The 22,209-nt window shown below is 39.4% G+C and overlaps 1 protein-coding gene and 1 pseudogene across 33 annotated transcripts in view; both read left to right on the top strand.

Annotated features, from left to right (window-relative positions):
- The window catches only part of ZNF248 (zinc finger protein 248), a 99,566-nt gene that overhangs the window by 29,572 nt on the left and 47,785 nt on the right, over positions 1 to 22,209 (top strand). For 2 of the 33 annotated variants that reach the window (NR_148007.2, NR_148000.2), the window contains exon 7: positions 2,644 to 2,708. The exons of the other annotated variants lie outside the window; for them this stretch is intronic. The gene's annotated coding sequence lies outside the window, so the exon portion shown is untranslated. The remainder of the gene's footprint in view (positions 1 to 2,643; positions 2,709 to 22,209) is intronic. 33 annotated transcript variants of the gene reach the window in all.
- TLK2P2 (tousled like kinase 2 pseudogene 2) lies at positions 7,545 to 10,126 on the top strand (annotated as a pseudogene).

The raw sequence follows: 22,209 nt of genomic DNA, 5'->3' as shown, positions 1-22,209 counted from the left end.
GTAAAATAGGCCAGTGACAAGCCCTCCTAGAATATTTTTATTGGGAGGTCACTGTAGACCAGAGAGTTTGTGTCCTTATTGCTTCCAGCAGTCATATTGAGAAAGTACATTTGCTCTGTAATCTATTGAAAGTCAGTCCACAACACAAAAATGAAAAAAGAAAAGAAGATGGCTATGATAAGCGCCATAAAGAAAAATCAAAATAGGAAAAGTTGTCAGATACAAGGTTTGATTTTAGATAGGATGGAGAGGAAAAGACCTCACTGAGCAGGCTACATTGAGGGAGGAGTGATGTGGATAAGATCTCGAAGAAGAGTGTGTTCACATGTGTGTATCTAACACATGCATGTAAACCAACAAATTCTGTTTCGTGAGACCCTTACCCTAATTACCTGTAATGTACTTTGATATTTTCTCTTATACTGCATTCTATTAAAAGAAATACTTTTTCTCATACACTAGACTGATCTCACAATGAACAGTTTATCCCCCAGTGCACTCATGTTTAAACCAGGATGAGAATTGCTCAGTCATAGATTTGTGATTTCTGAAATGACTAATCACTCCCAGTCCCTGGAAATAGTTTTCTGGTAAACTCCTAAGAGCCTGTTTTTGGAATTGGGCCTACTTTCCATCTTGAAATTGCCCTCCTCTGGTCTAGTGGGCCCTGTCACTTCACACCCTACCTGTATTTAGCAGGGAAATGTGGAACTATTGCTTCTGGGAGGGTTCAGCCCTTGGGTATCCTTGATGCCTTCAACCCCTACCCCTGTTTGCTTCTGGCAACCAGAGACCGTGGCTGTGACTGCCCTGGATCCTTTCATCATATCTCTCCTTTTCTGAGGAAGACTTACCTATTCCCATTCCTATTTTTCCACTGAATCTTCATCTCTCGTCCAGTGACTGGACACTGCACACTCAACCTCCTCCCTTTATCTGAGGAACTCCAACTCCCTTTTCCCAACCTACCACTCTTCTCAGATCTTGCATTCCCAGGCTTCTCTTTCAGATGACAAAGAACCAATGTCTCTCCTAGACAGCACTTATGAAGAGAAAGGTCTCAGATACTTTGGTAGGTGAGAACTGATGACTAATATAAAGCTATCCCATGTTTGGAGTCCATACTTTGGTATGGCCAATACTCTCTGTTATTGGTTTCTTTGTCTACAGAATGGGGTAGTTATCCTCTCTACAAAAGTGGGCCTTACCGGTAAGCCTGCTTTCAGTAACAGCCAAAAATTCTCCCTTTACTGATCCCCTAAAGGAAGCTCAAGACCTCAGAAAAGAAGAGTTCAGAATTTCTTCAACTCAGACCCCTAGTAAAGGCTTGCCCTATTCTTGTGGATCTCTGATAACATCCCTTAAAACAGAAAACGAACTTGGAGAAGCTTGGCAGCCATGACTGGTGCCCATGACATAGTGAGACTTCCTTAGCTTTCTCAGGCCTAGATTCCCCTATGCTGATGTCTGCACCAGCTGCCATTACTGGGAGAATAAGTCTTCTTTGGCATTTGACAGATGAGTTCTCTTCAACCCACCTCACCCACATATTGGTTCACTTCCCTAAAGTAACTTGGTTTTTAGTTCTGTCTGGGCCTTTTTCCATGCACTGTAACCAATATATATGAGCCTGTAGAGAATTTATAATACACTGGAGTTTTATGGGCATTTGAGTATTACAAATCAAGAAATATGGTCAGAATATTAATCAAATGCTAGAATATGTACAAAATCATAAGAGATTTGTTGCCTGGAATTAGATCCAGGCATAGCCGGAGAGTTTTAAGTTGTATTTTTAATTGCTTCTAAAGAGAAATAAATAGTAGTATCAGCTCATCCACAGGAAATTAACTGTAGATGAATTGATACTACTATTACGTATGGTTTTTAGTTTTCTCAGATGATTTGGTGATTTGTACAGACATTATTGTGACATTATTACAGTTAAAAATATTTTAAAGTTCCTATAGAAAAGTTACCTAAGTTTTCAAACTGGTAATGTTAGTGGTAGTGATGAAAAACGTACCTGAACGTCCATAACTTTAGAAGAACAGTCAGATGCTATCAAAGGCTGTGAAAAACTTTAACCATGAAACAACATGGAGTTAGTTTAGTAGGTAATGATGAGGAAATAATACTCAGAAAATAGACATTAAAATCACTGACATGACTTTACCACAGAAGTCATACGGTTACACTCTCTGAAAATGTGTTTTTCCACTTATTTATATGAGAAAATTAGTGGGGAAAATAGTACTTTCTGTTATCTGTGTGTCATGATAGTTTTACCAGGGACTTTTGGTTTATATTACTTCTTATATTTCAGTGTCCTTTTAGGATACACACACACACTTACACAATGGAAATACAATATATATGGTGAACTCATTTACAATACGCGATTACCAGTTTTCCATGTTAGTTTTTCTACCCTTACCTGATCATTTTTACGACTACTTAAAATTTCTCTGCTGGATCAACAATATTTTATCTACATCCTATCAATGGCTCACTTTTAGGTAGCTTCCCATATTTTTACTCTTACAAATGAACATTATGGAGGAACACCTTTGAGCATATACCTTTCTACACTTGTCCAAGTTTTCTCTCTCTCTCCCCCCCTTTTTTTTTTTTCACCTGCAGACACAGGGCAACCAAGTTGTCGTCTTCAAATTAATTTCTCAGAGTCTACTCTCTGGATAATAGGGGTGAGTTTATTTTCAGTTCTAATGAAACTGACTCCAGGAGGTCTGTATGGATTTCATTCCCATTCAAAGTTTGGAAATGTGACGGCTGGGTGGGGTGGCTCATGCCTCTAATCCCAGCACTTTGGGAGGCCGACGTGGGAAGAATGCTTGAGCCTAGGAGTTCAGGACCAGCCTGGGCAATATGGTGAAACCCTGTCTCTACAGAAAATACAAAAAATTAGCCGGGTGTGGTGGTGCACACTCATAATCTCAGTTAACTTTGGAGGCTGAGGTGGGAGAATCACCTAAGCCTGGGAAGTTTAGGCTGCAGTGAGGTATGATTGTGTCACTGCACTCTAGCCTAGGTGACAGAGTAAGTGCCTGTCTCAAAAACAAAAGAAAAAATTTGGAAATGTGCGCCCACCATTGTCACAGTGGGTGCTGTTCTTTTTTTTGTTAAAAAAATTCCAACCTTACTAATATAACATGATAAAATATTTCTTAAACATTTTAGTTTCTAAATTTTCTACAGACATTGAACAATTTAAAAATAATTACCCTTCACTTTCTTAATGTTGGCTTATATCACTAGGCTCACTTTAATTGAGGTGCTCATCATTTTATAATAGCTAGTCATGGAAGATTATTAAGATATTTTCTTGGTTCATGTGCTCTTACAAATCTAAGTATATAGTTTACCTTTTTAGAGGAACAATGGAAACTATTGCTTTTTTCACTTTATGAACAACATATCAACAGGATAGTGTTTCTCATTTCTGGGAGATATACTTTAACATTTGTCTATGGGAATATTTTTTTTTAAGTTTTCAAATTACTTCAAGCTTTTAAGTAATTTTGGCTGGGTGCGGTGGCTCACGTCTGTAATCCCAGCACTTTGGGAGGCCAAGGCAGGCAGATCACGAGGTCAGGAGATCGAGACCATCCTGGCTAACATGGTGAAACCCCGTCTCTACTAAAAAAAAAAAAAAAAAAAAATCAGCTGGGTGTGGTGGTGGGCACCTATAGTCCCAGCTACTCAGGAGGCTGAGGCAGGAGAATGGTGTGAACCGGAGAGGTGGAGCTTGCAGTGAGCCGAGATCGCGCCGCTCCACTCCAGCCTGGGCTACAGAGGGAGACTCCGTCTCAAAAAAAAAAAAAAAAAAAAAAAAAATTTAAAATAATTTTTTGCCTCTGCAATTGGTATGCAGTCTTAACATTAAGATTATAAATGCTCATTATAATTTTTAAATGCTTTGGTAGTTTAAATTTTATATTTCCATATCAAGTATATTTATTATGTGAGGTAAACATTTACACGTACCATGTGATCTACAGAGAGAACCACTTACCCCAACACCATTTATTAAATAGACCTATTTCTCTCTACTTTGAAATGTCACTGTGATGGTTAATTTTATATGTCAACTTGACTGGGTCATGGGGTGCCCAGATGCTTGGTCTAACATTCTTCTCGGTATATCTGTGAGGGGGTATTGGATGAGATTAACATTTAAATCAGTAGACTAAGTAAAGCAGATGAGAGTGGGTGGGACTCATCCAACTGATTGAAGGCCTGAATAGAACAAAAATGCCAACACTCGTGAGTAAGAATTCCTACCAGTGACCTTCAAACTGGATATCAGCTTTTTCCTGCCTTTAGACTCAATTGAAACATTAGCTTTTCCTGGGTCTTGAGCCTTCAGCCTGGAATAACACTCTCAGTCCTCCTGGGCCCCGAGTTTGCTAACTCAACCTGCAGATCTTGGGACTTGCTAGCCTCCATAATCAGGTGAGCCAATTCCTTATCATAAAGCTCTTTCTATATATACATCTTATTGGTTCAATTTTTCTGGAAAACTGACATAGCCACCATTATCATATACTGAATTCTTACATCATCTTAGGCCTTTACATATTTTTTTTCAGACTCTAAAATACTTAGTTTATCGTAGCCATTAAAGATGCATCTTTGCCCTGGTATGGTGGCTCACGTCTGTAATCCTAGCAATTTGGGAGGCCGAGGTGGGTGGATCACCTTAGGTCAGGAGTTCAAGACCAGCCTGGCCAACATGGTGAAACCTTCTCTCTACTAAAAATACAAAAATTAGCCAGGCATGGTGGCATGTGCCTGTAGCCCTAGGTACTCAGGAGGCTAAGACACAAGAATCGCTTGAACCCAGGAGATGGAGGTTGCAGTGAGCCGAGATCGTGCCTCTGCCCTCCAGCCTGGGCAACAGAGCGAGACTCTGTCTCAAAAAACAACCAAAAAATAAATAAATAAAGACACATCTCTAGTCAAGCTTTAGTCTGTATCTTCACAAAATTCTTGACCCCCCTCATTATTTCACATAAAATTTACATTTGTTCTAGCTGCAGTACAGAAGATTTGAAAATATAGAACGTTGAGAATTTGTTTGGAATGTTGTGACATAATACGTTTCATTTTTTTGTTAAAAAATGATTAGTTCCTGTTGTTATTTGCTTTTTTTTTTTTTTTTTTTTTTTTTTTTTGGAGACGGAGTCTCGCTCTGTCACCAGGCTGGAGGGCAGTGGCGCAATCTCGGATCACTGCAACCTCCGCCTCCCAGGTTCAAGCAATTCTTCTGCCTCAGCCTCCCGAGCAGCTGGGACTACAGGCACGTGCCACCATGACCAGCTAATTTTTGTATTTTTAGTAGAGACAGGGCTTTACCATGTTGGCCAGGATGGTCTTGATCCCTTGACCTCGTGATTGGCCCACCTCGGCCTCCCAAAGTGCTGGGATTACAGGTGTGAGCCACCGTGCCCAGCCACTGTTTGCATTTTTTAAGCTGTCATTCAATAAACTTTTATAGTTTCCTTCACATAGCCTGCACATTCTGTATGTTTTTTAGAACATGTAAACATCTTGACCAAGTTTTATAGTTTCCTTCACATAGACCGCACATTAATTCTAGGTATTTTTTAGAACATGTAAACATCTTGATCAGGCTTGTCTAACCTGTGGCCCATGGGCTGCCTGTTGCCCAGGATGACTTTGAATGCAGCCCAACACAAATTTGTAAATTTTCTTAAAACATTGTGAGCTTTTTTTGTGTTATTTTTACTTTTTTTAGCTCATCACCTATCGTTAGTGTTAATGTACTTTATATGTGGCCAAAGACATTTCTTCCTTCCATTGTGGCCCACGGAAGACAAAAGATTGGACACCCCTGATCAAGATTGGACACCCCTGATCTTGACTATATTATTATAATGAATATAACAGAGACATTTTATTAATATGTATTTAATAAATATATATTTACCACTGAAGATTCTCATGGTACACAGTTCAGTGAAGAGATTATCACAAACCATCATGCCCTTTGTAGAAATGTCAGACTTTGCACTTCAAATGAACTGAGAGGATGAATCATTTCTTTTAGATTGTTTTCTGAATTTTTTTTCATTTTTGTTTAATATATATATAGTTTTTCCAAGTTGATGTATTTTGCAACCTGGGAAAACAGTCATGGAGATGACACTTTAATTGTTGTTCTCGTTTTCAGCTTTATTTAAATGTTTTTTTCTGTGTTCACAAGTGAAATTGATACGCAGTTTGTGGTAGCTTTCTATGTAGACAAGGCTGTTATTTAAGACCGCTCCAGACCATGTCCTTTGTGACTGTGAAGGGGCAAGGCCTCCAGGGAGAGATTAATTTGAGCAGCACCAACTTATTACAACTTTTGGAATGATTGCTACCGAGTGTCTACAGTGGCTCATGGGACACTAAATTCAGCAATGTGATGAGTTGGGCCTCTGACGACACCGGGAGGGGAAGGCATAGCCCCTTATGGGGGGCTTATGTTGTCTCCAGCCTCTGAGGGAGCTGATTGCTGAGGCTCCAGTCTTTAGCCTTTATCCTTTGGAGAACTGGTTCTGGGCGTAGAACTGGTTCTGGGCAGAGAACTGGAGAGGTAGTTTGTGCACTTTGGAATTGGAATTGGTTTGAGGGGAGTTCAGTGGTATTTGGTAGTTACAGAGAAAAGAAGGTGAGATTAGCTTATAGTAGATGGGATCCAAAACTCCAAATGACTGTCATTGGAATCCATTAGCGTCTTGTGTTTTCAAGCCTGTCCTGGATGTAGGTAAAGGCTTTTGAGGATAGGCTGTGCTCCAGGGTCAGGGTTGAAGAGGGAGTAAGGGTAGGGACTGGGACTGAGCAGTGGGTTGGCTGTGGTTGCCTTTGTTGCTTTCTTTGAGGAAAGCTCCCTGTGTAAGTGGCCAGGTATGTTCAGTAAAATGTGCAGGCCTTAATTCCAGAAGAACTGACCCTCTGCAGCTGTCTGTACTGCGGAGTGAGGCTCTTGAATGTGATTGAAGAGTTGTTAAAGGCCGTCTAGTAAGAGCTGGACTGAGGGGTGTGAGCAGTCCATAGTAAAGCACACTGTTCAAGAGCATGGACTTTGGAGTCAGTGAGGCCTGCATATACATCCACCACACTTAACAAATATGTGACTGGACAGGTAATTTAACTACTGAAAACCTCAGTTTCTTCCTCTCTAAATGCGAATGGCAGTAGTACCTACTTTGTGGGGTTATTCTGAGAGTTAAATAAGAACCAAGGAAATCCTAAATATATTCATCCAACCAATAGGTATGTCATTTTTGTAGTTGCTTAGGAGTTATTTCTAGATGAAACAGACAAAACTCTGTGCTTTTATAGAACTTATTTTCTAGTGGGGCAATAAATATAAAAAGTTACCATGACTTCCACAATGGCAGCATGAGGACCTCTGTAGACCTACTTCTCAGTGAAGTGAGCATAACTGATTAAAATTATGTAGGTCTTTGGGATCCCAGAGCACCTTTAGTCTCGGGAGACGCTCTGCCAGCCAGAAATGATGGAAGAATTGCATAGCCTGGACCCACGACGGCAGGAATTATTGGAGGCCAGGTTTACTAGAGTAGGTATTAGTAAGGAAAACTAGAAGAGGAAAAAACAATAAATATGCAAGAAGAAATAAATACATGCAAAACAGAATGGGAAATATTCAAGAGTTGGAAAATCAGGAAACAAAAGGCAAAATGAAGGAGAGTACATCAGATTTAACAAAAGGGACCACTTAATAGTGAGTCTTCCAACCAGAGCTTGTGCAGCATGGGATCCTTGAGTGATAAAGAAGTAGAGACTCCCGAGAAAAAGCAGAATGACCAGCGAAAGTGGAAAAGAAAAGCCGAACCACATGAAACTAGCCAAGGGAAAGGCACTGCTGGGGGACGTAAAATTAGTGATTACTTTGAGTTTGCTGGGGGAAGCGGGCCAGGGACCAGCCCTGGCAGAAGTGTTGCACCAGTTGCACGATCCTCACCGCAACATTCCTTATCCAATCCCTTACTGTGACAAGTAGAACAGCCCCTCTGTGGTTTAGATGGCAGCACTGCAAAGGAGGCAACGGAGGAGCAGTCTGCTCTGCCAACAGCCTCATGTCAGCAATGCTAACAAAACCTCGGCTTGACCCAGAGCAGCTGGCACAAAGGGGAGCTGGCCTGTGCTTCACTTCTGTTTCAGCTCAGCAAAACAGTCCCTCATCTATGAGATCTGGCAACACAGAGCATTTCTGCAGCTCCCAAAAACAGATCTCCATCTGGCACAGACAGACCCAGTCCGACCTCACAATATAAAAAATATCTGCACTAGAAAACAGTAAGAATTCTGACTTAAGAAGGAGGGAAGAATAGATGATTTATTAAGAGCCAACTGTGATTTGACACAGCAGATTGATGAACAGCAAAAGATGCTACAGAGATACAAGGATGATTAAATAGATGTGTGACAATGAGCAAGAAAGTCCTCATAGAAAAGTCAAAAAGAGAAGATGGCATGTAGAGATAAGAGCATGCAAGACCGCTTGAGATGGGGCCGCTTTACTACTGTCCGACATGGGGCCTCGTTTACTGAACAATGGGCAGATGGTTATGCTTTTCAGAATCTTATCAAGCATCAGAAAAGGATAAATTCACAGAGGGAAGAGATAGACAACGGAAAATGTTAGCAAAGCGGAAACCTCCTGCCATGGGTCAGGACCCTCCTGCAACCAGTGAGCAGAAACAGTGGAAAAGCAGGACCAATGGAGCTGAAAATAAAACGTTAACATTAGCAGAATACCATGAACAAGAAGAAATCTTCAAACTCCGGTTAGGTCATCTTAAAAAGGAGGAAGCAGAGATCCAGGCAGAGCTGGAAAGGCTAGAAAGGGTTAGAAATCTACGTATCGGGGAACTAAAAAGGATACATAATGAAGATAACTCACAATTTAAAGATCATCCAATGCTAAATGACAGATATTTGTTGTTACATCTTTTGGATAGAGGAGGTTTCAGTAAAGTTTACAAGGCATTTGAACTAATAGAGCAAAGATACGTAGCTGTGAAAATTCACCAGTTAAATAAAAACTGGAGAGATGAGAAAAAGGAGAATTACCACAAGCATGCATGTAGGGAATACTGGATTCATAAAGAACTGGATCATCCCAGAATAATTAAGCTGTATGATTACTTTTCACTGGATACTGACTCATTTTGTACAGTGTTAGAATACTGTGAGGGAAATGATCTAAACTTCTATCTGAAACGGCACAAATTAATGTCAGAGAAAGAGGCCTGGTCCATTATCATGCAGACTGTAAATGCTTTAAAGTACTTAAATAAAATAAAACCTCCCATCATACACTATGACCTCAAACCAGGGAATATTCTTTTAGTAAATGGTACAGTGTGTGGAGAGAGAAAAATTACAGAGCTTGGTCTTTCGAAGATCATGGATGATGATAGCTACAATTCAGTGGGTGGCATGGAGCTGACATCACAAGGTGCTGGCACTTATTGCAATTTAACACCAGAGTTTTGTGGTTGAGAAAGAACCACCAAAGATCTCAAATAAAATTGTTGTGTGGTCGGTGGGTGTGATCTTCTATCAGTGTCTTTCTGGAGGGAAGCCTTTTGGCTATAACCAGTCTCAGCAAGACATCCTACAAGAGAATACTATTCTTAAAGCTGCTGAAGTGCAGTTCCCACCAAAATGAGTAGTAACACCTGAAGCAAAGGCGTTTATTTGACGATGTTTGGCCTACCAAAAGGAGGACTGCATTGATGCCCAGCAACTGGCCTGTGACCCCCTACTTGCTGCATTATATCCAAAAATTGGTCTTTGTGAGTAGCCCTGCTGGGGCTGCTATTGCATCAACCTTTGGGGTGTCCAACAGCTGTTCTTCGAATTGAGACTGACTCCAAGGCCACAAACTGTTCAACACACACAAAGTGGACAAATAGCATTTAGCAGCAGGTTTGGAACGTAGAGAATCTGAATGGATCTGATGAAACCTGAACCAGGTGCTTATTTTGTTGCTTTTTTCCCATCCACTGAGCATGACAGCATGGATTCTCTTTAAGGAGAAACCATGGGCAGCTCCAGCCAGGCCTCATAGGAAAAGGCCCGGCATGAGGTTCTGGCGTCAATGGCCACTGTGTATGGCTGCTCTGAGTGAGGAAAAAACTAAAAAGAAAAACTGGTTCCATGTACTGTGAACTTGAAAACATGCAGACTCACGGGGGTTCCTGATGCAATGCTTCAGATGAAGATTGTGGACTTGAAAATACAGACTAGAAGGCCGGGCACAGTGGCTCATGCCTGTAATCTCAGCACTTTGGGAGGCCAAGGAAGGTGGATCACAAGGTCAGGAGATCGAGACCATCCTGGCTAACACAGTGAAACCCCGTCTCTACTAAAAATACAAAAAAATTAGCCAGGCTTGGTGGTGGGCGCCTATAGTCCCAGCTACTTGGGAGACTGAGGCAGGAGAATGTCGTGAACCCGAGAGGCGGAGCTTGCAGTGAGCCGAGATCACGCCACTGCACTCCAGCCTGGGCGACAGAGTGACACTCCGTCTCAAAAATAAATATATAAATAAATAATAAATAAAAAAGAAAATACAGACTAGGCTAGTCCAGTGTCTATATTTAGACTTGTTCTTTTAATAAAGTTTAGGTAACATCTTCTAAAAAGTTTGTAGCACAAAGGCTCAGCTGGGGATGGTGTTTGACTTCGGGGGGAAAAAATGCTGTTGCCTATTAAAGACACTAGAGTTAGTGTTTTATCCCTAAATAATTTCAATTTTTAAAAACATGCAGCTTCCCTCTCCCCTTTTTTATATTTGAAAGAATTCATTTGGTTGTAAAGTGAAACCCATATTAGCAAGTACGTGGCAATGTTCATTCCAATCAGATGCAGCTTTCTCCTCTCTCTGGTCTCCTGTTTGCAATTGCTTCCCTCCTCAGTAGGGAAAAAATTGAGTGGGAGTACTGAGATGTGTGGGTTTTTGTCATTGGACAAAGAATGAGGTTAGAAGACTGTGGCTTGGAGTCTCTCTAGGTTTTCAACTATTTCTTCACAATTTGAATACCTGATGGTTGTCCCTTTTAATTTATTTGAAGTGCTATTTTTTTTTTAAAAATAAAGGTTCATCCATGCAAAAAAAAATTATATAGGTCTTTGGAAGTGGTTCTTAGGGCATACAGCAACTAACCACTACTTATTCAAGAAAAATCTACTAAAAGTCATTAGGAACAGTGAGAGTCTGTGGTATTTGAACCACAATCAGTGCCCTCCCGTCTTCCTCCCAGGTCAATATGACAAACTCTAAGTGGGTGCAGCCAAGAAAACAGAGCTCCCTTGCCTCCCAGCTCCCATTTGAGGGCAGTGGCATCTACATGGGAGGGGCAGGCTGCTAGTATTTCTCATACATCTCCTGCAAGTTGTTTAAGAGGCTAAATTGCAGGTTAGTACAGCTGAGGAGAAATCCCGGACTCCCTTCCACCCAGACCCCATTCACATGACACAGGCTCTATCTCAGGCATGGTGTCCTGAGAATATAGGGGCCCAGTTACCCTTACTTTGACTTAGTAGTGTGGAGGTTCCAAGCCAGAAGAGGAAAGCCTAGAAGACCAGCACCCTCTTACCCTCCCTACCCAGCACCCTTCTCCTAAAACACGGTTCCTAGAAATAATCATTCCACTCTCTCCACCTTAGCCTCTGGGGCATGGCTCAGAGATTTCACCAAGTGGGGAAAACAATTCATAAAATCAAGAGGTCAAAAACTCTGCTAATGAACTGACCTTATTTGAATGAGTGTACAGGAAAGGTCAAATCTAAGGGTACTCAAAAACGAGATTTTGATGAAAAACAAGAAGCAGCTGACAGCTTCAGTGAGAATTCCAAGCTAAACATAGGCCACGTGTTTACCAGAGGTGAACCAACGAAAGAGACAACTAATAATAGGCCCCCCTTGTGTCAGAACAAACCTCCAGTACTGACCTCAGAAGCTGTTCCTGTAGGAAGGCTTGTATGGCAAATTGTGGTTACGTGTGGTTAATTTTAGCTCTGAGCATGGTAGTGGCTACCCATCACCCGTGCCAGCAGCTTTGTATGTGTTCCTGAAGCAGCTTGCTGAAGCCAGGATAGGCATTAAGGACCCTGTCCTGCAAATATTGGGGAACTGTGCTCTAGTCACTGATTGCTCCTTCTGATCGTGGAGGTGCAGACACGGAGGTGTAAACACAGAGGTGAGCGGCTATTGTAACTCATTGCCATTGTTGCAAGTCCTTCCCCTTATTCACTGGAGAGATGCTCTTTTGATTTAATGAATTGCTTCCCCCCTGGCCTTCATCCCCCCTTCCTTGGCAAAATTTCTGAGCCATTCCCAGAGCCTAGGGTGGAGAAAGTGAAATAGTTCTTTCTAGCACCCATGTTTTAGATGAAGTAAATTCCTGAGGATTTAAAGACTTCGTGCTTTCCCCTTCATTTCTCTCTCTCTCTCTCTTTTTTTTTTTTTTTCCATTATCGGAACCAGAAATGTAAGGACTGGGACCTTTAGCAACCACGTATACAGAGGAATTTAGAAAGTTGCCACACATGCCCAGGAAAAGGTCCAGGCTCAGAAGTGACCTCAGAAGAGCTTAAGTTTACATCTCAGTCTAATCTTTCATATGCAGACACCCTGTAACTATTTTTTAAAAATAAATGAATGAGAACAAAAAGCCTAGCAAACCTTGGGTAATGGGGAGAATCTGATCTCCAGAGATACCACACCATAAATTTCAAATGTCCACTTTTCAACAACAACAAAAAAATCAAAAGATGAACAAAGAAACAAGAAAGTATGACTAATTGAAAGCAAAAAAGAAAAGAAACTGTCCCTGAAAAAGACCAGATTGTGGGCTTACCAGACAAATTAAAACACTGTCTTAAAGATGTTTAAAAAGCTAAAAGATAATGTGGACAAAGTCAAGAAAACTATAAACAAAATGGAAACATCAATAAAGATAGAGAAAACAAATTCTGGAGCTGAAAAGTACAACAACTTTGCTAGAGGGATTTAAAAGCATATTTGAGCAAGCAGAAGAATGAGTGAATTTGAAGATAGGGTCATTGAAATCAAATTTAAGGAAAGAAAAAAGACTGAAGCTGAGCGCGGTGGCTTATGACTATAATCCCAGCACTTTGGGAGGCTGAGGCAGGCAGATCACCTGAGGTTAGGAGTTGAGACTAGCCTGGCCAACATGGTGAAACTGTCTCTACTAAAAGTACAAAAATTAGCCATGCATGGTGGCATGTGCCTGTAATCCCAGCTATTTGGGAGGCTGAGGCAGGAGAATCGCTTGAACCCAGGAGGCAGAGGTTGCAGTGAGCCAAGATGATGCCACTGCACTGCAGCCTGGGGTACAGAACGAGACTCCATCTCAAAAAAAAAGTCTGAAAAAAAAATGAAGAAAGCCTAAGAGACATGTGGGACACCATCAAGTGGATGAATATATGCATTGTTCGGAGTGCCAGATAGAGAAAGCATAGAGATAATTTGGAGAAATAATTGGTGAAACATTTTAAAATTTGATGAAATATATAAATATAAACCTAGAAGAAACACAATAAACTTCAAGTAAGATAAAATCAAAGAGGCCCACACTGAGGCACATTATAATCAAACTGTCAAAGGCCAAAGACAAAGTTTTAGAGCAGCAAGAAAGAAGCAGCTTATACATAACATACATACATACAAGCCATTCTCAATAAAGTTATTAGCAGATTTCTTATCAGATCTTGGAGGCCAGAAGGCAGTGGGTTGAAATGTTCAAAATGCTGAAGGGAAAAACAAATCTGTCAGCAAACAATCCTGTATTTGGTAAAATTTTCTGTCAAAAGTGAGGCTGAAATTAAGACATTCCTGGATAAACAAAAGCTGAGGGAGTCTGATAGCAGTAGACCTGCCCTGCAAGAAAGCTGAAAAGAGTCCTTTAGGTTGAAATGAAAGGACACTAGACAGAAACTAATGCCATAAAAGAAATGAAGATATCTGATAAAGGTAAATGCACAGGGAGTTATAATACAAAGATGTATTACTGTAACTTTGGTTAGTAATTCCACTTTTTGATTTTTACATGATTTAAGAGACTAATGCGTAAAAATGTTTTGTGTCTCTGGACACAATGTATAAAGAAGTCATTTTTTGACATCAATAACTTAAAAAGTGGTGGGGACAGTGCTGTGTAGGAGCGGAGTTTTTTGTATGTTATTGAGGTTAAGCTAGTATAAATTTAATTTATAGTGTTATGACTTTAGGATGTTAAATGTAACAAAACAGCTGTAGAGAACACACATAAAAAGAAATGAGAAGGGAATTAAAAGATTTTACTAGCAAAAATCTACTAAAAAGAAAAGAGCTGTAATTCAGGAAATGAGGGACAAAAATGCTGTAAGACATAGAAAACAAAAGCGCAATGATAGATGTAGATCCTTCATTTTTGGTTATTACTTTAAATGTAAATGGCTTAAATTCTTCAATCAAAATCAGAATGGATTAAATAAAACCAAATGTGATTGAACAGTACTGTCTACAAGAGACTCAGGTTCTAATCTGTGTCCGAAGACACTAACGGGTTAAAAGTGAAAGAATGAAAAGAGATATCCCATGCAAGTTGTAAAAAGAGCAGGAGTGAGTGCAGTTGATCCTTGAACAATTGGTGGTGGGTTAGGGGCACTGACCCCCAACACAGAAACACACACAAACACATGCACACGCACATAACTTTGGCCTCCCCCAAAATGTAACTACTAGTGGCATACTATTGACCAGAAGACTTACCAATAACATAAACAGCTGATTAACATGTATTATGTATATGTATTATATACTATATTCTTAGAATAAAGTAAGGTAAAGAAAAAAAAATCGTAAGGAAGATAAAAATGTTTATTCATTAAGTGGAAGTGGATCATCATTAAGGTCTTCATCCTCATTGTCATCACATTGAATAGGCTGATGAGGAGGAGGGAGAGGAGGAGTCAGTCTTGCTTTCTCAGGGGTGGCAGAGGCAGAAGTGGAGGAGATGGAAGGGAGGCAGGAGAGGCAAACACACGTGGTATAACTTTCCAGAACTACATCATAATTTCTGTCTGATGCTTTTTGCTTTTCTAAAAAGGTATCTGTACAGTAACAGTCCTATTGTTTGTTTTGATTTCAGCACCTGTATTATAAAAGGGTCCATGTCATAAAAGAAGTTAAAAGCAGTCTCAAATAATTGGAAACCTTCTGCCAGACTGTCTAATGGCAGTTTGTTTTACGACATTGTTTCTTGTACGTTCTTCTACGTCTTACGCCTCATGGTCGGGCTTTGGAAGTGCTCATCTCTGTCAAGTCATCTGTTAATTCCTCTGTTGTGAAGTCTATGAGATCTTGAATTTCTCCAAGATCCATGTATTGAAATCTTTACTCTCCTGCTTCCACCACCTTTTTTTTTTTTTTTCTTTTTGCCATATCCACGATCTCTTTTATGATTTCCTTGATTGGCTCTGTCATAAATTCTGTGAAGTCATATACAACATCCGGATATAGTTTTCTCCAGAAGGAATTTATTGTTTTGGGGTCAATGGCTTCTATGGCTTTTTCTGTAACAGTCACGCCATCTTCAGTGCCAGTGGTGTCATCCTTCCAGTCTTTCATGGTGTTCTATCAGGGTTCTCTTCCATAGCATTAACCATCCTTCCATGGAGTACCATTGTAATGAACCTTAAAGTTCCTTATGCCCTCCTCATCTAGAGGCCGAATTAGAGACACTGTCTGGGGGCACATAGACCACTTTGATGTCTTTGATGTTGAACTGCTGGGGTTCTGGGTGGCCGGGGGCATGCTCAATATCAAAGGAGCTTCAAAAGGCAGCCCCTTACTAGAAAGGTATGTCCTGACTTCAGGGACAAAGCATGGTGAAACCTATCCAGAAAAATGGTTCTCACTGTCCAGGCCTTTGTATTGTGCAACCAAAAGACTGGAAGCTGATGTTTATCTTTTCTCTTCAAGGCTGGGTGTTAGCAGTTTTATAGATAAAGGCAGACCTAATCATAAACCCAGCTGCATTTGTACTAAAGTAGAGTTAGCCTTTCCCTTCCTGCCTTTAATCTTGGTGTCCATTTCTCTTCCTTAGTAACAAATGTCCTTTGTGGCACTTTTTTTTTTCCCAAAGACACTTTTGTCTACATTAAAGACCTGTTCAAGCAGATATCCTTCCTCCTCAATGATTTTCTTTCTTCCTTTTTTTGAGACAGGGTCTTGCTCTGTCACCCAGGCTGGAGTGCAGTGGAGCGGTCATGGCTCACTGCAGACTTGACCTCCTGGGATCAATCGATCCTCTCACCCCAGCCTCCCGAGTAGCTGGGACTAGAGGCATGTGCCACCATGACCGGCTAATTTTTGTATTTTTTAGTAGAGATGGAGTTTTGCCATGTTGCCCAGGCTGGTCTCGAACTCCTGGGCTCAAGCAATCTGCCTGCCTTGACTTCCCAAAGTGCTGGGATTACAGATGTAAGCCACTGCGCCAAACCCTCAGTGATTTTCTTAATGGCATCTGGGAACTTGTCTGCTGCGTCTTGGTTAGCAGAAGCAGATTCTTCTGTTATTGTGACTTTTTAATTTTTATTGTTTACTTTTTTTGACACAACATCTCACTGTCAGCCAGGCTGGAGTACAGTGGCATGATCACAGCTTACTTGCAGCCTTGACCTCCCTGGCTCAAACAATCCTCCCACCTCAGCTTCCCAAGCAGCTAGGACTACAGGGGCATGCCACCACACCTGACTAATATATATATATATATTTTTTTTTTTGTAGAGACAGGGTTTTGCCATGTTGCCCAGACTGGTCTTGAACTCTTGGGCTCAAGCAGTCTGTCCACTTCTGCCTCCCAAAGTGCTGGGATTACAGGCACGAGCCACTGCGCCTGGCCTAGAAATTTCTAAAGCCAAACATCTTTCTAAAACTATCAAGCCGTTCTTTGCTGGCTTTAAATTGTCTAGCTTTAAATCCTTCATGGTTTTTTTTATTTTTTATTTTATTTATTTATTTATTTTTTTGCTCTAAGTTGTCATATAACTTCACTATTTCTCAGATTGCATTAGAGTCTGTAGGTGTGCCTTATGGCAATCCTGCAGCCACATAAAAACTGCATTTTCAATATGAGATTACAAGGTATTTTGCTAAAAGTGCAAAGTTTTTGCACCTGTGGCACAGCTGCAGTGACAGCTTCATAAATTTTCTTTTTCTACAGTGGTTCTTACACTGGATTCAATTATCTTGAAACAGTGGGTAACCACAGCTGCACACCTCAATCTAAAGTACATATTAAGCAATCCATCTTTTTCTTGTAATATCATGACTTTTCTCTGCTTCTTGGGAGCACTTGCAGCATCACTAGTGGTACTTCATATGGGTCCAATAGTGTTATTCAGTGTTTATGGAAATGCACTAAAAATGATGAAAAATATGTGAAAACTGTAAGAGGTTACTTTTACTGTCATATGCAGTTTACTGGAGAAATGAACTGCTCACACAAAGATGATTAGCTTTACATGATATTTTAAGCGGATACTTCAGCTCACCACAATAGCAACAGGACTTGGCTCTGAAATTATTATAGTAGTATAGTATATACTACAGGTAATTTTATGCCATTATGATTGAATACTACCTCTTCACGTCTGTTAACATTTCTCTTGACAGCTAATGGTACCATGTACAGTCTTTATTTGTGTATGTTTTAATAAATTTTAGCTTTTTATAGGAAATTTGTGTATTTCTAGATAGTAAATGATAAAATAGACTAGTATCTTCAGATATTTTATACATTTATTTCATACCTCTTTTGCTTAATTTTTTCAGTATTTCTAGGCCACATGGTTTATCTGCAAGTTTTTTTCAAATTGTCACATATCTCCAAAAACTTTTCCAATATGTTGGAAAAACTCCATATATAACAGACCCATGCAGTTTAAACCCATGTTGTTCATGGGTCAACTGTATGTTAACATCAGACAAAATAGGCCTTAAATCAAAAAGGTCACAAGAGATAAAGAAGGATATTGTATGTTAATAAAATTCAATACAGCAAGAAGATATAGCAATAATGAACATTTATGCACCTAATAAGATAACATCAAAATAAATGAAGTGAAAATTGACAGAACTAAAGGGTAAAATAGACAGTTCTACTATAATAGTTGGAAACTTCAATATGTCGTTCCAATAATGGATAGAACAACCAGACAGAAGGTAAGGAAACACAGGACTTAAAAACACAATAAGCCAACTTGATTTAACAGACATCTAAGTTAAATTATGTTTGCAGTTCAATCAAGGTTAAGGTTATTTTTAGGGCCTAACTGGCTTTGTCTGCTCTGGGATTATCCAGACCTGGTCTGCATTTAAAAATTTGCTTCAATACTCCCTTTTAGGATCAAGTAGTACACAACACTATATCCAACAACAACTACTACAGAATACCTATTCTTCTCAAATGCACGTTAGTTATTCTCCAGGGTAAACCATATGTTAGGTCACAAATTAAGTCTCAATAGATTTTAAAAGATAGATATTATACAAAGTATATTCTACGACCACAACAGTATGAAGTTAGAAAATAATAATAAAAGGAAAACTGGAAAATTTATAAATTTGTGGAAATAATTTAAATAATATACCTTTAAACAACCCATAAGTAAAAGAAAAAAATCACAAGGGAAATTGAAAAATACTTAGAGATGACTGAAAACAGAAACAAAACATACAGAAACTTATGGGATGCAGCAAAAGTTGTGCTAAAGGGGATATTTATAGCTATAGGTGCTTACCTTTAAAAAGAAGAAAAATCTCAAATCAGTTATCTAACATTACATCTTAAGGACCCAGAAAAAGAGCTAACTGAAGGCTGGGAGCAGTGGCTTATGCCTGTAATTCCAGCACTTTGGGAGGCCAAGACTGGTGAATCACTTCAAGTCAGGAGTTCAAGACCAGCCTGGCCAAAATGGTGAAACCCTGTCTCTACTAAAAATACAAAAATTAGCCAGGCATGGTGGCGGGTGCCTGTAATCTCAGCTGCTTAGGAGCCTGCAGTGGGAGAATCACTTGAACCTGGGAGGTGGAGGCTGTAGTGAGCCAAGATCATGCCACTGCACTCCAGTCTCAGTGACAGAACTAGACTCCGTCTCAAAAATAAATAAACAATAAATAAAAAGAACTAAGCTCAAATGTATCAGAAGGAAGGAAATAAAGAGTAGGGCAGAGATAACAAAGAATAGAAAAACAATAGAGAAAATCAACTAAACCAAGAATTGGTTGTTTGAAAAGATCAACAACAAAATTGACAAACCCTTAGCTAACTAGACTAAGAAAATGACTCAAACTACTAAAATCAGAAATGAAGACAGGGATATAAATACTGATTCTACAGAAATAAAATACAAGAAAGTACTAAGAACAACTTACTACAACAAATTGGATAACATAGATGAAATGGCTCAATATCTAGGAACACAATATCATTGACATAAGTCAATACTGACTCATGAAGAAATAGAAAATTATGTAGGTACATAATTAATAAGGAGACTGCATCAGTAATGAAAAAAAAACTCTTGACAAAGAAATGCCCCAGACGTGATGCCTTCCTTGGTGAATTCTACCAAACATTTAAAGACCGACTAACATTAGTCTTTTTTAGGCTCTTCCAAAAAATTAAAATGAAGGGAACACTTCCAAATTTGTTCTGTGAGGTTAGTATTACTTTGATATCACAGCCATACAAAGATACTACATGAAAATGAAACTGCACAGTAATATCCCTTATGAACCCTAATGCAACAATCTTCAACAAATGCTACCAAACTGAGTTCAGGAACATGTTGAAAAGATTGTGTACCAGCTGGGTATGGTGGCTACTGCCTGTAATCTCAGCATTTTGGGAGGCCAAAGCAGGTGGATCACTTGAGGCCAGGAGTTTGAGACCAGCCTGGTCAACATGGCGAAACTCCATCTCTACTAAAAATTAAAAAAAATCAACCAGGTGTGGTGGGGTGTGCTTGTAATCCCAGCTACTCAGGAGGCTGAGGCAGGGGAATCGCTTGAACCTGGGCAGTGGAGGTTGCAGTGAGCTGAGATCACATCCCTGCACTCCACTCCAGCCTGGGTGACAGAGCGAGATTCTGTCTCAGAAAAAAAAAAAAAAAGAAAAAAGGTTATATACCATGACCAAGCAGGAATAAGAAAAAAAGATTATATATCATGACCAAGCAGGATTTTTTTCTGTTTATTTCTGTAATACAAGGATGACTCAACATATGAAAGCCACCTAATGTAATACATCACATTAATAGAATGGAGGGAAAAACATGAAAACATGATGTCAATTGATGAAGAGAAACCATTTGACATATTTCAACACTCTTTCATAATGAGCTATGCACATGTGATAAATCAACATGTGTAAGAAATAGAAGGAAACTACGTCAATGTAATAAAAACCATATATTAAAAATATACAGCTAATGTCGTACTCGGGTAAAAGACTGAAAGTTTATATTCAGCATAATATGGAAGTTCTAGCCTGAGCAATTAGGCAATAAAAAATAAATAAAAGGCATACAGATTGGACAGAAGTAATTTTTTTTGTTCTTATATGATTTTATATGTAGAAAACCCTAAAGAGTCCATCCACTAAAAATGGTTAGAATAAATGGACTCAGCAAAGGAGCAGAATACAAAATCAACACACAAAAATCAGTTGTGTTTGTATATACTAACAATAAAAAATCCTAAAAGGAAATTCAGAAAACAATTTCAGCATCAAAAAAGCTACATCAAGGAGGCAAAAGACTTGTACACTGAAAACTACAAAATGTTGCTGAAATGCATTAAAGAGTAAATGGAGATGTGTAAATCCATTCATGTACATTGATAGGAAGACTTAATATTGTTAAGATACTATATAGCACTACCCAAAGCAATCTACAGGTTCAATGCAATCTCTATCAAAATACCAAAGATGTTTTTGCAGTAGTAGAAAAATATATCCAAAAACTTCTATGGAATCCAAAGGGACCCCCGATAGTCAAAATAATTTTAATAAAGAACAACATTGGAGGTCTCGCACCCCTTGCTTTCACTCCTCCTGATTTCAAGAGTTATTACAAAGCTATAAATCATAATAGTGTAATAGTGTGGTGCTGCTATAAAGACAGATGTATAGAACAATGAAAAAGAATAGAAAGCCAAGAGGCCCTCAAAAATATGGGTAAATGGTTTTAGACACGGGTACCAAGACCATTTAATGGCAAGGACAGTCTTAAAAAAATGATGCTGGAGGGTGTGGCGGCACATACCTGTAATCCCAGCTACTCGGGAGGCTGAGACAGGAGAATCACTTGAACCTTGGAGGCGGAGTTTGCAGTGAGCAGAGACCGGGCCACTGCACTCCAGCTTGGGCAACAGAGTGAGACTCTGTCTCAAAAAAAGAAAAAAAAAATGCTGGGAAAACTGGGTATTGACATGCAAAAGAATGAAGTTGGATTTTTACCTAACACCATGTTCTCAAAGTAACTCAACATGGATTAAAGGCCTACATGTAAGAGTTAAGATTGTAAAGCTCCTAGAGGAAAACACAGGGGGAAAGCTTAATGACATTGGATTTGGTAATGATTTCTTGGATATGACACCAAAAGCACAAGCCACAAAAGAAAAAATAGACAAATTTTACTTTATCAAAATTTATAACGCTTTTATGTTTTTTAAAGGACACTATCAACAGAATGAAAAGGCAACACACAAAATGGGAAAAAATGTTTGCAAAACACATATTTGATAAGAGATTAATATTCAGAATATATAGATAACTCCTAAAACTCAACAACAACAAAATGAACAAATTGATTAAAAAATGGGCCAAGGACTTGAGTAGACATTAAAAAAAAAGATATTCAGATGGCCCATAAGCATATGAAAAGATAGTCAACATCACTAGTTATTAAGGAAATGCAAATTAAAACCACAATGAGATACCACCTAATCCTCAATGGAATGGCTACTATCAAAAGAAGGAAGGGAGGGAGAAAGAAAGGAGATGGAAAGAAAAAATATCAAGTGTAGTTGAGGATGTGGAGAAGTTGAAACTCTTGTGCATTGTTGAT

The sequence above is a fragment of the Homo sapiens genome, chromosome 10 (genome assembly GCF_000001405.40).
Source record: "Homo sapiens chromosome 10, GRCh38.p14 Primary Assembly".
NCBI lineage: Eukaryota > Metazoa > Chordata > Mammalia > Primates > Hominidae > Homo > Homo sapiens.
This window is presented reverse-complemented; position numbering and strand designations above follow the sequence as displayed.